General features: G+C 38.0%; 1 long non-coding RNA gene and 1 pseudogene across 1 annotated transcript in view; both read left to right on the top strand.

Moving 5' to 3' along the window:
• The window catches only part of LOC101928135 (uncharacterized), a 518229-nt gene that overhangs the window by 162871 nt on the left and 338232 nt on the right, over positions 1–17126 (top strand). The window lies entirely within an intron of this gene.
• KRT8P18 (keratin 8 pseudogene 18) lies at positions 519–15695 on the top strand (annotated as a pseudogene).

Genomic DNA, 17126 nt, shown 5'->3' with positions numbered 1-17126 from the left:
AGTGTCTGTTCATATCCTTTGCCCACTTTTTGATGGGGTTGTTTGTTTTTTTCTTGTAAATTTGTTTGAGTTCATTGTAGATTCTGCATATTAGCCCTTTGTCAGATGAGTACGTTGCAAAATTTTTCTCCCATTCTGTAGGTTGCCTGTTCACTCTGATGGTAGTTTCTTTTGCTGTGCAGAAGCTCTTTAGTTTAATTAGATCCCATTTGTCAATTTTGGCTTCTGTTGCCATTGCTTTTGGTGTTTTAGACATGAAGTCCTTGCCTGTGCCTATGTCCTGAATGGTATTGCCTAGGTTTTCTTCTAGGGTTTTTATGGTTTTAGGTCTAACATTTAAGTCTTTACTCCATCTTGAATTAATTTTTGTATAAGGTGTAAGGAAGGGATCCAGTTTCAGCTTTCCACATATGTCTAGCCAGTTTTCCCACCACCGTTTATTAAATAGGGAATCCTTTCCCCATGGCTTGTTTCTGTCAGGTTTGTCAAATATCAGATGGTTGTAGATATGCGGCATTATTTCTGAGAGCTCTGTTCTGTTCCATTGATCTATATCTGTGTTTTGGTACCAGTACCATGCTGTTTTGGTTACTGTAGCCTTGTAGTATAGTTTGAAGTCAGGTAGCGTGATGCCTCCGGCTTTGTTCTTTTGGCTTAGGATTGACTTGGCAATGTGGGCTCTTTTTTGGTTCCGTATGAACTTGAAAGTAGTTTTTTCCAGTTCTGTGAAGAAAGTCATTGGTAGCTTGATGGGGATGGCATTGAATCTATAAATTACCTTGGTCAGTATGGCCATTTTCATGATATTGATTCTTCCTACCCGTGAGCATGGAATGTTCTTCCATTTGTTTGTATCCTCTTTTATTTCATTGAGCAGTGGTTTGTAGTTCTCCTTGAAGAGGTCCTTCACATCCCTTGTAAGTTGGATTCCTAGGTATTTTATTCTTTTTGAAGCAATTGTGAATGGGAGTTCACTCATGATTTGGCTGTTTGTCTGTTATTGGTGTGTAAGAATGCTGGTGATTTTTGCACATTGATTTTTTATCCTGAGACTTTGCTGAAGTTGCTTATCAGCTTAAGGAGATTTTGGGCTGAGACAATGGGGTTTTCTAGATATACAATCATGTCATCTGCAAACAGGGATAATTTGACTTCCTCTTTTCCTAATTGAATGCGCTTTATTTCCTTCTCCTGCCTGATTTCCCTGGCTAGAACTTCCAACACTATGTTGAATAGGAGTGGTGAGAGAGGGCATCCCTGTCTTGTGCCAGTTTTCAAAGGGAATGCTTCCAGTTTTTGTCCATTCAGTATGTTATTGGCTGTGGGTTTGTCATAGATAGCTCTTAATATTTTGAGGTACGTCCCATCAATACCTAATTTATTGGGAGTTTTTAGCATGAAGGGTTGTTGAATTTTGTCAAAGGCCTTTTCTGCATCTATTGAGATAATCATGTGGTTTTTGTCTTTGGTTCTGCTTATATGCTGGATTACATTTATTGATGTGCGTATATTGAACCAGCCTTACATCCCAGGGATGAAGCCCACTTGATCATGGTGGATAAGCTTTTTGATGTGCTGCTGGGTTTGGTTTGCCAGTATTTTATTGAGGATTTTTGCATCAGTGTTCATCAAGGATATTGGTCTAAAATTCTCTTTTTTGGTTGTGTCTCTGCCATGCTTTGGTATCAGGATGATGCTGGCCTCATAAAATGAGTTGGGGAGGATTCCCTCTTTTTCTATTGATTGGAGTAGTTTCAGAAGGAATGGTACCAGCTACTCCTTGTACCTCTGGTAGAATTCAGCTGTGAATCCATCTGGTCCTGGACTTTTTTTGGTTGGTAAGCTATTCATTATTGCCTCAATTTCAGCTCCTGTTATTGGTCTATTCAGAGATTCAACTTCTTCCTGGTTTAGTCTTGGGAGAGTGTATGTGTCGAGGAATTTATCCATTTCTTCTAGATTTTCTGTTTATTTGCATAGAGGTGTTTGTAGTATTCTCTGATGGTAGTTTGTATTTCTGTGGGATCGGTGGTGATATCCCCTTTGTCATTTTTTATTGTGTCTATTTGATTCTTCTCTCTTTTCTTCTTTATTAGTCTGGCTAGCGGTCTATCAGTTTTGTTGATCTTTTAAAAAAAACAGCTCCTGGATTCATTGATTTTTTGAAGGGTTTTTTGTGTCTCTATTTCCTTCAGTTCTGCTCTGATCTTAGTTATTTCTTGCCTTCTGCTAGCTTTTGAATGTGTTTGCTCTTGCTTCTCTAGTTCTTTTAATTGTGATGTTAGGGTGTCAGTTTTAGATCTTTCCTGCTTTCTCTTGTGGGCATTTAGTGCTATAAATTTCCCTCTACACACTGCTTTGAATGTGTCCCAGAGATTCTGGTATGTTGTGTCTTTATTCTCATTGGTTTCAAAGAACATCTTTATTTCTGCCTTCATTTCTTTATGTACCCAGTAGTCATTCAGGAGCAGGTTGTTCAGTTTCCATGTAGTTGAGCAGTTTTGAGTGAGTTTCTTAATCCTGAGTTCTAGTTTGATTGCACTGTGGTCTGAGAGACAGTTTGTTATAATTTCTGTTCTTTCACATTTGCTGAGGAGTGCTTTACTTCCAACTATGTGGTCAATTTTGGAATAGGTGTGGTGTGGTACTAAAAAGAATGTATATTCTGTTGATTTGAGGTGGAGAGTTCTGTAGATGTCTATTCGGTATGCTTGGTGCAGAGCTGAGTTCAATTCCTGGATATCCTTGTTAACTTTCTGTCTCGTTGATCTGTCTAATGTTGACAGTGGGGTATTAAAGTCTCCCATTATTATTGTGTGGGAGTCTAAGTCTCTTTGTAGGTCACTCAGGACTAGCTTTATGAATCTGGGTGCTCCTGTATTGGGTGCATATATATTTAGGATAGTTAGCTCTTCTTGTTGAATTGATCCCTTTACTATTATGTAATGGCCTTCTTTGTCTCTTTTGATCTTTGTTGGTTTAAAGTCTGTTTTATCAGAGACTAGGATTGCAACCCCTGCTTTTTTTTGTTTTCCATTTGCTTGGTAGATCTTCTTCCATCCTTTTATTTTGAGCCTATGTGTGTCTCTGCATGTGAGATGGGTCTCCTGAATACAGCACACTGATGGGTCTTGACTCTTTATCCAATTTGCCAGTTTGTGTCTTTTAATTGGAGCATTTAGCCCATTTACATTTAAGGTTAATATTGTTATGTGTGAATTTGACCCTGTCATTATGATGTTAGCTGGTTATTTTGCTCATTAGTTGATGCAGTTTCTTCCTAGCCTTGGTGGTCTTTACAATTTGGCATGTTTTTGCAGTGGCTGGTACAGTTTGTTCCTTTCCATGTTTAGTGCTTCCTTCAGCAGCTCTTTTAGGGCAGGCCTGGTGGTGACAGAATCTCTCAGCATTTGCTTGTCTGTACAGTATTTTATTTCTCCTTCACATATGAAGCTTAGTTTGGCTGGATATGAAATTCTGGGTTGAAAATTCTTTTCTTTAAGAATGTTGAATATTGGCCCCCACTTTCTTCTGGCTTGTAGAGTTTCTGCCGAGAGGTCTGCTGTTAGTCTGATGGGCTTCCCTTTGTGGGTAACCTGACCTTTCTCTCTGGATGCCCTTAACATTTTTTCCTTCATTTCAACTTTGGTGAATCTGACAATTATGTGTCTTGGAGTTGCTCTTCTCGAGGAGTATCTTTGTGATGTTCTCTGTATTTCCTGAATTTGAATGTTGGCCTGCCTTGCTAGACTGGGGAATTCTCCTGCATAATATCCTGCAGAGTGTTTTCCAACTTGGTTCCATTCTTCCCATCACTTTCAGGTGCACCAGTCAGATGTAAATTTGGTCTTTTCACATAGTCCCATATTTCTTGGAGGCTTTTTCATTTCTTTTTGTTCTTTTTTCTCTAAACTTCTCTTCTCGCTTCATTTCATTCATTTCGTCTTCCATCACTGATACCCTTTCTTCCCGTTGATTGCATCGGCTACTGAGGCTTGTGCATTCATCACGTAGTTCTCATGCTATGGTTTTCAGCTCCATCAGATCCTTTAAGGACTTTTCTGCATTGGTTATTCTAGGTAGCCATTCGTCTAATTTTTTTTCAAGGTTTTTAACTTCTTTGCCGTTGGTTTGAACTTCCTCCTTTAGCTCAGAGTAGTTCGATCTTCTGAAGGCTTCTTCTCTCAACTTGTCAAAGTCATTCTCTGTCCAGCTTTGTTCCATTGCTGGTGAGGAGTGGCGTTCCTTTAGAGGAGGAGAGGTGCTCTGATTTTTAGAGTTTCTGGTTTTTCTGCTCTGTTTTTTCCCCATCTTTGTGGTTTTATCTACTTTTGGTCTTTGATGATGCTGACGTACAGATGGGTTTTTGGTGTGGATGTCCTTTCGTTTGTTAGTTTTCCTTCTAACAGTCAGGACCCTCAGATGCAGATCTGTTTGAGTTTGCTGGAGGTCTGCTCCAGATGCTGTTTGCCTGGGTATCAGCAGTGGTAGCTGCAGAACAGTGGATTTTGGTGAACCGCAAATCCTGCCGCCTGATCGTTCCTCTGGAAGTTTTGTCTCAGAGGAGTACCCGGCTGTGTGAGGTGTCAGTCTGCCCCAACTGGGGGGTGCCTCCCAGTTAGGCTACTCGGGGGTCAGGGACCCACTTGAGGAGGCAGTCTGCCTGTTCTCAGATATCCAGCTGGGTGCTAGGAGAACCACTCCTCTCTTCAAAGCTGTCCAACAGGGACATTTAAGTCTGCAGAGGTTACTGCTGCCTTTTGTTTGTCTGTGCCCTGCCCCCAGAGGTGGAGCCTACAGAGGCAGGCAGGACTCCTTGAGCCGTGGTGGCCTCCACCCAGTTCGAGCTTCCAGGCTGCTTTGTTTACATAATCAAGCCTGGGCAATGGCAGGTGCCCCTCCCCCAGCCTGGCTGCCACCTTGCAGTTTGATCTCAGACTGCTGTGCTAGCAACAAGTGAGGCTCCGTGGGTGTAGGACCCTCCAAGCCAGGTGCGGGATATAATTTCCTGGTGTGTCGTTTTTTAAGCCCATCGGAAAAGCACAGTATTAGGGTGGGAGTGACCCGATTTTCCAGGTGCCGTCTGTCACCCCTTTCTTTGTCTAGGAAAGGGAATTCCCTGACCCCTTGCACTTCCCAGGTGAGGCAATGCCTTGCCCTGCTTTGACTCACGCATGGTGCGCTGCACCCACTGTCCTGCACCCACTGTCCGGCACTCCCCAGTGAGATGCACCCAGTACCTCAGTTGGAAATGCAGAAATCACCCATCTTCTGCGTCGCTCATGCTGGGAGCTGTAGACTGGAGCTGTTCCGATTCGGCCATCTTGGCTCCACCTTTTTTTTTTTTTTTGAGATGGAGTCTCGCTCTGTCGCCCAGGCTGGAGTGCAATGGCACAATCTCAGATCACTGCACCACCACCTCCCAGGTTCAAGCAATTCTCCTGCCTCAGCCTCCCAAGTAGCAGGGATTACAGGCGCCTGCCACAATGCCTGGCTAATTTTTTGTATTTTTAGTAGAGACAGGGTTTCACCATGTTGGCCAGGCTGACCTGGAACTCCTGACTTCTGGTGATTCACCCACCTCAGCCTCCAAAAGTGCTGGGATTATAGGCATGAGCCACCGCACCCGGCCCAACTTTTAAAACATATATTTGGCATGATTTTTTTTCTCATTCTAAGTAAAGGCTAATTTATACCAATATTTTATTCATAATTTTGTGTTCTATTTTCTAAGGAAGCATCCCTGAAATGGGACCAACTAGCACCATCAAAGCTGAATGTACCTCAGAGAGAGGCTGGTATCAGTCACAATGAGAACAAATGGATTGGAACAAATCTGGAGACTAAGCTTTAGGGCAATCACAATTCTATAAAAAATGAAAGGTCATATATCAAATGAAAGATGAGGCAGGCCATGGGTGCAGAGTAAGAAAATAAACAAATATTGGAAAAATATCTCTGAAGAAGGATGATTTTAAATCAGGCCTTGGAAGAGGTAAATGAAAGGAAGAGGTGGATAATGTTTCCTAAAGTGAATGGCATGTGTACCAACCTCTGAAGGTAAATACTGTAAGAATGCAGTCTCAGATGAGGAGCATGAGAAAGGAATTCAGACGAGTTGGAATTGCATGCTTTGGTATTATGTGGAGGAGAGGAAAGGAGATAATATTAATGATAGAATGACAAAGTTGAGTTCTTAAACATTAAGAAATTTTTAATGTTTTTCCAATATTTCTTCAAATTTTATCATTCATATAGATCACAAAACTGAGTGATCATGAGAGAAACCAAACATTGCCTATCTTCACTTTTAGACACTTGGAAAGAAACTGCAGCATTTTTCCTGAAGGTCAGCAGATTTCCAGTGACGTCACCTTAATTATTCCCCACTGTACACATATGAAAACAACACAAGGGCTGTTTGCTACTTAACCAAATTAAGTTCCACATCACTAGCTTATTGAGTCACTTGGCCCACTGTAAATTCTTTATTTAGAATAAAAATATCCTACACATTTCGGGTCATCCAAAGTGTTTAAGAATAATCCATTAGCCATCCTGCCACTAGACTACAAGTTATTGCATTGATTTTCAAATAAGAAAATAAAATAATAAACAGGTTAATAGAAGCCCAAAATTTTATTATTTCAATACATCTGGAAATTTTCCAAGGAGGGCTGACAAAAATAATTTAGTTCTCTCAAAAATATCGTATTCAAGGGCACTCAGGCTACTCAGCTACACAAATTCTCTTCATTCTCAATTGTCTCAGTGCCCCCCAGCCCCAATTTGATCACAATACCTATAGGAAAATCCAAAATAGTATTGTTGGAAAGATTGCATATACTTATAATAGTATCTGTCATAATAGCTTTCACATCATGCCCCATTAAAGTTTCTTTTTACACTAGTCTGGCATGACAGTGTAATTCCTTGTTAAATGCTATATTAGCAAGGATGAGTAATAATTCAACAGGATGCTAACATAACACAAGTTTAAATTGCTAATTCAATGAAGCCTTCCTTTCACTGTACATTGCTCAAATCATTGTGATTTTTGCATTGGAACACTAGAACCTTTTAAAAATAAAAATAAAACATGGAAATAGTTTCTACCTGTTTCCTACTCTTGGCAGAATATATGTCTTGAGAAAAAAAGCAGTACTCTGGCTTTACTCTTATCATCATTTATCAAAGAGGTTGTTCAGAAGTATTCTGAAAAACTTCTAAGAAAACTTATCTGCAGGTACAAACAATGTTAATTCCTCTCTCACTCTTCTTGTCCCTCTGATGTGAGAGTCAATAAATTACCACATCAGCTCTCATATTGTGAAATCCCTCTCAGAGTTGGCCTTGCTTCCTTATCCCAAATTTTATTATGGTACTTCAGGTTATATGTGCAGCTGCTAGTCTTTCTTCTCACATTCAATTTTTAGTATATCAGATCCTTCTTATGTAGTCTCACCATACTAACCATCACACACGCACACATGCATGGACACACACACACACACACACACACACACACACACTGCTTAACCCTGTCACTTACCTACTCAAAAATTATCTCCATTGTTTAAAGTCATCATCCAGCTTCCACTATGTATATGACTACAGAATATCATATTAGATAGATAGATAAACACATATACATAAACACATATAGATCTTTACACATATATACACATATGTATATAGCTATATGTACACAAACATATATATGCATATATATATACATACACACGTATTATCTATAGAGTTCCAAGAATTTCCAATACAATAACTGTTACTACTTTCTAGTGCATGCTATGTGCCAGTAGTATAGAATAATGTTTAAATTATGCATTCTGAAGTTAAGAGGTTCTGGGTTTATCTTGCTCTGGATCTAAGTAGCTTTACTATATTTGAGAAATATATTTGTTTCACTCAGTGTTCTCAGGTGAAACTCAAGATAGCATGAGTTTCCTATTTCATAGTAGTTTCTCAGGTGTTAGATAAGATGATGTTTGTAATATGCTCATCACTGTGACTAGCATATAGAACATACTCAATAAATGTTTGTCAGTGAAGAACTATGATGCCTATTACGTTTGCAAGAATTAAAGTGAAACTGTTAGGTCAAATTGAGTGCACTTTTTAATTCTGTTAATATGCAATGAAAAATTGCCATTTACAGAGATTGTTCCAATTTACATCCCTGTCATGTATTACCATGTATAAATGAATGTGTTTTTTCCCCCAAAGTTTTGCCCTACTGTGTATTATAATTTTAAATATTTGTCATTGAAAAATGGCATATTTTAAACTGGTATTACTTTGACCACTTTTGAAGTTCTAATAAAGTTGACTATTTTTTCTCATGTTTAAATTCTATTGATATTTGCCCAGTGGAATGTCTAACATAAAATTTCTTCAATTTGATATTGGTAAATGCAGGTTTATTTTATGATTTAAGATTTAAAAGGATTATTGCATGTGAAGATATTACCCATTGTCTACTATCTGTTTTTCATTTTTTCCAATTTGTATTTTTGTATCTGACTTTGTTTGTGGTATTGTTTTTGCCAGAAAGATCATTTTATCATGTGAATCTCAATGTATCTATATATTCTTCTCAATGTATCTATATATTCAATGTATCTATATATTCTTCTAGAACATAGAAACTAGAATATGTTCTAGTTTCACAACATGCTCAAAGGTATAAGGATTGTGAGATATTGAAGGTTAATTAATTATTCAATAATTTCTGCTTATTCTACATTTCTTTATTTTAAAATTGGAATCATCCATATGATTTTGGTAAAAATATCCAGCTGTACAATCTTCCCTCAAAGAGCTAGTTAGTCCCCTGTTCTTTTATTATTAATTTGATACATTTTTTCCCACAGTGCTTTAAAGCTCATATTCTATGTTCCACATAGATTAGGATCTATTATTAGACTCTCTAGTCCAGTTCATTCATCTACTTTGGTTGTGTGTAATACTGTTAACTTTTTGATATTTACTAAAACTAGACTTCTCCCATTACTCATATTTTATAGGGCTTTATATTCTTTTGGGTAATCTTTAGTAGTATTTTTCAATTTCCTCCCTCAATATTCCTTCTTCTCCTGTGGGTGTCCTAATTATATATACGTGTTTGTAAGTGATTTTATTTTAGGAAGAACTGGCATGTTTAAAATATTTTTGTCCAAAACTATGTTTTAACTTACCCATTTTTCTCTTTTAGGAAGTAAATTAAAGCTTCTTTTAGTATGTGTCCTATATATTTCTTTTTAATATTTTTTTCTGGATAATTTATATTTTCGATATTAGGTCAAATGAACTTTATCTGATCATATGTCTAAACTAAGCCATATACAGGAAAGTTTATGTTTTAAACATTAATATGATTAAACTTTGCTACATTAGCATTATTATTTCAAGTAATTTTTCAGTTGATATCTATATACAGTATCATTGTATTCAATTATGTTTTCTGCAAATAATAATTATTCTCAAATGTGATGATATTTACAGCTTGCATTGTATCATTTGTATTATTAAGATTTTCCAATATGAAAACAAATATTCTAAACTTATTTTCCCAATTCTATGTGTTTTGCAGTTATTTATGACATTTTTGATGTTGAAATATTCAATTTTACATTGTCAAATATATCATTTTTTTCCTGTTTGTTTTATGATTAAAGAAGCCTGCCTCTTAAACTTGATCTAAAAATTGTTCCCAGTTGTTCAAACTGTTACATGATTGCCTTAACACAATTTATTGAATAATTCACTCTTAACTTTCTGATTTTCGAAGTCATACATATATTATCAATACGTCATATATTGATTTCAAATTATTTGCCCAAACACATGTTAAATTTTACTATTATTTTCCAAAAGCTATTAAAATAAATAAGTTTATTACTATTTGCTGGAATACAAAATATAGACTTCTTTGTGCTTCCGAAATTGTGCACAATTCCTAAAGGAGGAAGAGAAGATAGGATTATATTGACCAGTGCATACACAAGTTTGTTTTCTTCTTAAGGATGTAGGTTCATGGAGTAGAAGGCAGGGACACAGAGGTCATTTACAGGATTTCTAATGTGGGTTTCCCTAAAAATATGTTTGCAGGAAAATCAGGAATTCACCTTAAAAACTCACCAAACACACGAAAGTAGGTATCATGAACAAAACCAGAAATAACATAGAAAGAATCATATACTAAAATTATGAGAGCACAACAAAGTACGTGTGTTTACTACTACTGAATGTATACTTAAAATTGTTAAAATGGTAAATGTTATGGTATATATATTTTACCACAAAAATATGAGAGAGATTATAAAACAGTCTATAATGACCAAGTTTAAATAAACTAGAAGCAAACTCGAAAATAAGTGTAGGGATTAGGGACTATAAAAAATTACCTAAACATCTGAAAATGAGCTAGAGATATTCTAGAAATAAACCACACAGCAATTGATATTTACACATTTAGAGTATTGTGGATATTTAAAGCTTGGATTATATAAATGAAAGACATATAGGGAAAAAAGAGAATCTACTTATGGCATATCAGTGTGAAGAGCTCTGTAGACCTATTACTCAGTGAAACAATCATAAGTGATGAAAATAATTTCTAAAGCAACTATTTAAAGTCCCCAGAAATTGTCATAATGGCATACAGCATGTGAAGAATATTTATTCAAGAAAATCTAGTACATCTTAGTAAGAAGAGCAAAAGTTTGAAGAGCAAAACTGTTTGAAGAGCAAAAGTAAGAAGAGCAAAACTGCTGCTCTCTCCAACCCTAGCTCAGTGTGACAGAAACTTTGCTCCAAATGGGCATGGCCAAGAAGATCATTCTCACTCTAATCACCTATCTCTGTAATGCAGAGATTAAATTTCAGATGAGGCAGTTTAGAGTAGGGGCTCTCTTCCTATATTTACTCCCCGCTTACAAGGTTCCATCTCTATTTCAGAAGTGGCAGGCCAGATTATTAAGTCCTCAGTCACCTTCTCCTTAGCCCACTTGAGGGGGAGATTCCATGCCCAAAGGGACAAGCTAAGTAAAGTCATACTCGCAGGTCAGGAGTAATGGGATGGAGATTTTCTTCAGGACGAGGCAGGTCATAAGAACAGACATCTCTGAAGTTCTCCCTAAAAGAACTAACTGACATTATTTAGAACACACTATGGAAGAATTCAAGACTAAGGGTACTCTTGAAAACAGTGATTTTTGGTGTTAATTAAGTGGAGGCTTGTAACTCCACAAAAGCACCAAGCTAAACTATAGCTCAGTTATTTTACCAGAGAGAATCAGGGGGAAAGGCAGCTTAGATGAGCTCTCTGGGTGTTAGAAGAAACACCAAAGACTGGCCCCAAAAACTACCCCTACAGGGGGACCTGAATTTAATTGGCTATAATCGTGGAGCAATTTATGTTCCAGAGCATCGTTGAAAAAAATACAGCAATTTACTGGCTCTTTCTGGAGTCTAACAGCTGTGTGTGATACCAACAGAGGCAGACAGCTAAATAGAGATATCAAGAAAAGAGATAGCTAAAGACAGTTCTGTTAAAACAACAGTCATCCCAGGGTAACCTTGTACAAGCCCAAAGCTTGAGTGATATTAGAAGCTTCACACTGCAGGGATTTAGCCTTCACTAAAATAGTCCAGCCAGGTCACTAAACAAATAAACAAGCAAACAATAATAACATCAAGCTCTAGAGGAGTGCGGTCGCTCTCTAGAGTTGCCATAATATATTACCTAAAATCCCCCAATTTTTAACAACAACAAAATAAGGCATACAAAGAAACAGGGATATATGACCCATGCATGAAAAAAAAAAAAAAGTAGAAAACACAAACTGACTGTGAAGAGGCCCAGGTGTGCAATTCAACAGAAGAAACTTCAAAGCAGCTATCTATCATAAATATATTCAAAGAACTAAAGAAAACTATGTTTAAGAATTAAGAAAAGCCATGATTACAGTGTTTCATTGAATAGGAAACATTAGTGAAGTAACTGAAATTGTTTAAAAATATATAAAGTTTAGAGTTAAAAAGTAATACAAGTAAAATTCAAAAATTTGCTAGAGGAGCTAAAGTAGATTTGAAATGGCAAAAAAGGAATCAGTGGATTTAAAGAGAGATCATTAGGCATTATACTGTTAGAAATACATAACTAAAATAAAACTAAAAATAAATTAACGGAGCTCAGAGAAATTCAGGATTCCATGTAGTTTACCAAGAATAAGAGTAGCAGGAAAGGAGAGAGACAAAAAAGCAGAAAAAATATTCGAGAAATAAAGGCTGAGAGCTTCCCAAACTAGATGAAGAAAACAACCAACCAATAAAAGAACTGAGAGAAATGCCAGGTAGATTAGCAACAAAGTGATCTGTATCAGAGCCATCATGGCATCAATGACACAGACAAAGAGAAAATCTTGAAAGCAGTAAGAGCAAATGACTACTCATAAAAGGAATCCCAATGAGAATAACAGCTGACTTCTCATAAGAAACAATATTCAAACTACTAAAAGAAAAGAAAAGCAACTGTCAATCAAAAATCTTATATCCAATAAAACTACCTTTCAAAAATGAAGAAAAACATGCATTATTCCAGTCTACTCATAAGTAAAGCATCAGAAAAACTCCAATAGTGGCATGCTGTGGCAAACCTAATCAGTATACCTGAAAACTGTCAAGGTCATTAAAAACAAGGAAGTTCTAAGACACTGTCACTGTTAGGGGAAAACGTAAGGAAACATAAAAATTATGTAATATGATAGCTTAGGTGGAACCCTGGGAAACAAAAAGAATGTTAGGTAAAAACAAAGGAAATCTGAATAAACTATGGACTTTAGTTAATAAGACTATATTATTACTGATTACTTAATTGTGACAAACATACCATACTAATATAAGATATTAAAAAGTTGAAAAATATAAAGGTAAAATGAAGCTATTCCCAGGTAAACAGAACTGATAGAATTCATTGCTAACTGACTCATCTTTTAAAAAATGTTAAAGGAAGTACTTCTGGATGATATCAAGTAATCTTAGAAAGTAATTCAATTCTACATTGAAACACATGTATATGCATACACAAAGGAGATGCAGCTAAAGCAGTGCTTAGAGGGAAAAGAAAAGCTCTAAATGCCTATGTTAAAAAAGAAGACAAAACTTCAATCAATAATCTAACTTTCCACCATAAGCTATTGGGGAAAAAAGAGCAAACCAAACCTAAAGCAAGCAGAAAAAGCAAATAATAAAGATCTCAGTAAAAATTAATGAAATAGAGAATTCTTTTTGTTTTTTTATTTGTTTAACTTTTATAAAGAGTAAATAAATCATCAAAATTGAAAGTTGATTCTTTGAAAATAGAAATGAAAATGGACCAACTTTTAGCTATTTAGCTAGACTGTCCAAGAAAAAGAATAACTCAAATTACAAAAATCTGAAAAAGAAGGAACATTAATACAGAGCTTATAGAAATAAAAATAATTATAAGAAAATACCATGAAAAAAATATGCCATAAAGTTAGAAAAATCAGCTTAAAAATAACAAAGTTTTAGAAAGATACTAATGATCAAAACTGATTCAAGATGTAATAAAAATATTAACAGACCTATACAAGGAAAGAGATGAATAATAGTTTTAAAAACTTTTCACAAAGTTTCCAAGCCAAGATAGTTTTACTGGTGAATTCTTCCAAACATTTCAAGAAGAGTTAATAACAATATTTCACCTATTCTTGCAAAAAACAAAACACTCAGATGAGAAACAAAATTTTCTCATCCAACTCGTTGGATGAGAAAATTATTATCTTAATATCAAACAAGACAAATTATAAGAAAACTGGAGAACAAAATTTTAATAAATAAAGAGAAAAAAGTCCGCAACAAATTACTAGAAAACCAAACCCAGACCAAGAAGCAGGTTCTCTGCTCCTTCTGGAGTTTCTGCCTGGTTCAGCCCGCCTGCCTCCACTCCTGCCTCCACCATGTCCAACGCGGTGACCCAGAAGTCCTGCAAGGTATCCACCTCTGGCCCCCGAGCCTTCAGCAGCCACTCCTACACGAGAGGGCCCGGTGCCCACATCAGCTCCTGGAGCTTCTCCCCAGTGGGCAGCAGAAGCTCCCAGGGTGGCCTGGGCAGAAGCTATGCTGGGGCCAGCAGCATGGGAGGCATCACCACCGTCACGGTCAGCCAGAGCCTGCTAAGCCCCCTTAGCCTGGAGATGGACCCCAACATCCATGTTGTGCACACCCAGGAGAAGGAGCAGATCAAGACCCTCAACAAGTTTGCCTCCTTCATCGACAAGGTACGATTCCTGGAGCAGAAGAACAAGATGCTGGAGACCAAGTGGAGCCTCCTGCGGCAGCTGAAGACGGCTCGGAGCAACATGGACAACATGTTTGAGAGCTACATCAACAACCTTAGGCGGCAGCTGGAGACTCTGGTCTAGGAGAAGCTGAAGCTGGAGGCGGAGCTTGGCAACATGCAGGGGCCGGTGGAGGACTTCAAGAACAAGTATGAGGATGAGATCAATAAGCGTACAGGATGGAGAATGAATTTTTCCTCAACAAGAAGGAAGTGGATGAAACTTACATGAACAAGGTAGAGCTGGAGTCTCACCTGGAAGGGCTGACTGAGGAGATCAACTTCCTCAGGCAGCTGTGTGAAGAGGAGATCTCGCAGTTGCAGTCCCAGATCTCGGACACGTCTGTGGTGCTGTCCATGGACAATTGTCGCTCCCTAGACACGGACAGTGTCATCGCTGAGATCAAGGCGCAGTAGGAGGAGATCGCCAACCGCATCCGGGCCGAGGCTTAGAGCATGCACCGGATCAGGTATGAGGAGCTGCAGACGCTGGCTGGGAAGCACCAGGATGATCTGCAGCATACAAAGACTGAGATCTTCAAGATGAACCAGAACATCAGCCAGCTCCAGGCTGAGATTGAGGGCCTCAAAGGCCAGAGGGCTTCCCTGGAGGCCTCCATCACAGATGCCGAGCAGCCTGGGGAGCTGGCAGTTAAGTATGCCAACGCCAAGCTGTCCGAGCTGGAAGCCGCCCTGCAGCGGGCCAAGCAGGACATGGGGCAGCAGCTGCATGAGTACCAGGAGATGATGAACGTCAAGCTGGCCCTGGGCATCAAGATCACCACCTGCAAGAAGCTGCTGGAGGGTGAGGAGAGCCGGCTGGAGTCTGGGATGCAGAACATGAGTATCCATACTAAGACCACCAGCTGCTATGTAGGTGGCCTGAGCTCGTCCTATGGGGGCTTCACAAGCCCCAGCCTCGGCTATGGGCCAGGCTCCAGCTTTGGCTCTGGTGCGGGCTCCAGCTCCTTCAGCCGCACCAGCTCCACCAGGGCCGTGCTTGTGAAGAAGGTCGAGACCTGCGATGGGAAGCTGGTGTCCGAGTCCCCCGACGTTTTGCCCAAGTGAACAGCTGCAGCAGTCCCTCCCAGCCTGCCCTTCCTGCAGCTGCCCCAGAGTGCAGGGGAGCACAGGGAACAGGAGACCCACTTAAGGCTCAGCCCTAGCTCTCAGCCCACCCTCGGGGGTAGTTTACTCCCTGGGGACCCCTTTGCCCATGCCTCCAACTACAAAACAATTCAATTTGTTTTTTTGTTTTTTTGTTTGTTTGTTTGTTTTTGGTGCAAAATAAAACCTCAGCTGGCTCTGCAAAAAAAAAAAGGAAAAAAAAGAAAACCAAATCCAGCAACATAAAAGGATTATACATGACCAACTGGGATTTATCCCAGATATGCAATTTTTGAATACCCTAAAATCAATTAATGTATTAATCAATTAATTTGTATCAACTGGTACACTATTTCAGCAGAATAAAATACAAAAACTTCCCAATATGTTCAGGAAATGAATTTTATAAAATTCAACCCTCATTTATAAAATGCTTGAAGGGCAAGCATCTGTGAAAAATCTACATGGTCAACACACTTAGGAATTAATTTAATAAAAGATATGCAAAAATTATTCTGAAAACTATAAAGCATTGTTAAGGAAATTAAAGAAGACCTAAATAAGTGAAAAGTCATTCCATTTTTATAGATCAGAAGATTTAATATTGTCAGGATGGTGATACTTCCCAAGTTTATCTATAGATTCAACAAAATTCCTATCAAAATCTAAGCTATTTTTTTTTTGGTGCACATTGCAAATTGATCCTAAAATTCATGTTGATATTGTTTGTCTCTCCCCACTCAAATCTCATCTGGAATTGTAATCTCTAGGCCTTGAGGGAGGGAGCTGGTGGGAGGTGATTTGATGATGGGGCAGTTTCCCCCATGCTGTTCTTGTGATAGTGAGTGAGTTCTCATGAGATCTGATTGTTTGATAAGTGTCTGGCACTTCCCCATCTCTCTCTTTCTCCTGCCACCATGTAAGATGTGCCTTGCTTCCCCTTCATCTTCCACCATGATTGTAAGTTTCCTGAGGCTTCCCTAGCCATGCAGAACAGTGAGTTAATTAAAACTCTTCCCTTTACAAATTACCCAGTCTCAGGTATTCCTCATAGCAGTGTGAAAATGAACTAATACAATATGGAACTGCAAGGGACCTAGAATCACTAAAGTATACTCAAAAAAAAAAAAAAAAAAAAAAAGACAACATTTGGATCACACTCCGTATTTCAGAATTACTACAAAGCTACAGTAGTATAGACTGTTCGATACTAGCAGAAGGATAGACATAAAGAGTAATGGAATAGAGTCCAGAAATAAATTTTCATATAACTATTAATTTTCAAAAAGCCGGAGACAGTTCAGTGAGGGAAAGAATAGTCTTTCCAACAAACTGTGATGAGAGAACTAGATATCCATGTGCAAAACCAGGAATATATACTCTTTCCTCACATTATACACAAAAAATAACCCCCAATGAATCATAGACTTAAAAGTAAGTGCTAAAAACATAAAAATTGTAGAAGAAAACATAGAAGTAAGTCTTCATAATCTTGAGTTATGTGGTCTTCTTCAATATGACACTTCATATTTGCTAAGACATTTATACCAAAAAAAAAAAAGCGAGAGAGAGAGAGGGGGAAAAAAAAAAGGATGTGGAGAACTTGGAATCCTCTTATTCTACTGATGGCAATTTA

Source organism: Homo sapiens, chromosome 3 (genome assembly GCF_000001405.40).
Source record: "Homo sapiens chromosome 3, GRCh38.p14 Primary Assembly".
Lineage (NCBI taxonomy): Eukaryota > Metazoa > Chordata > Mammalia > Primates > Hominidae > Homo > Homo sapiens.
The sequence above is the reverse complement of the archived record's forward strand: the minus strand, read 5'-3'. Positions and strand labels throughout refer to the sequence as shown.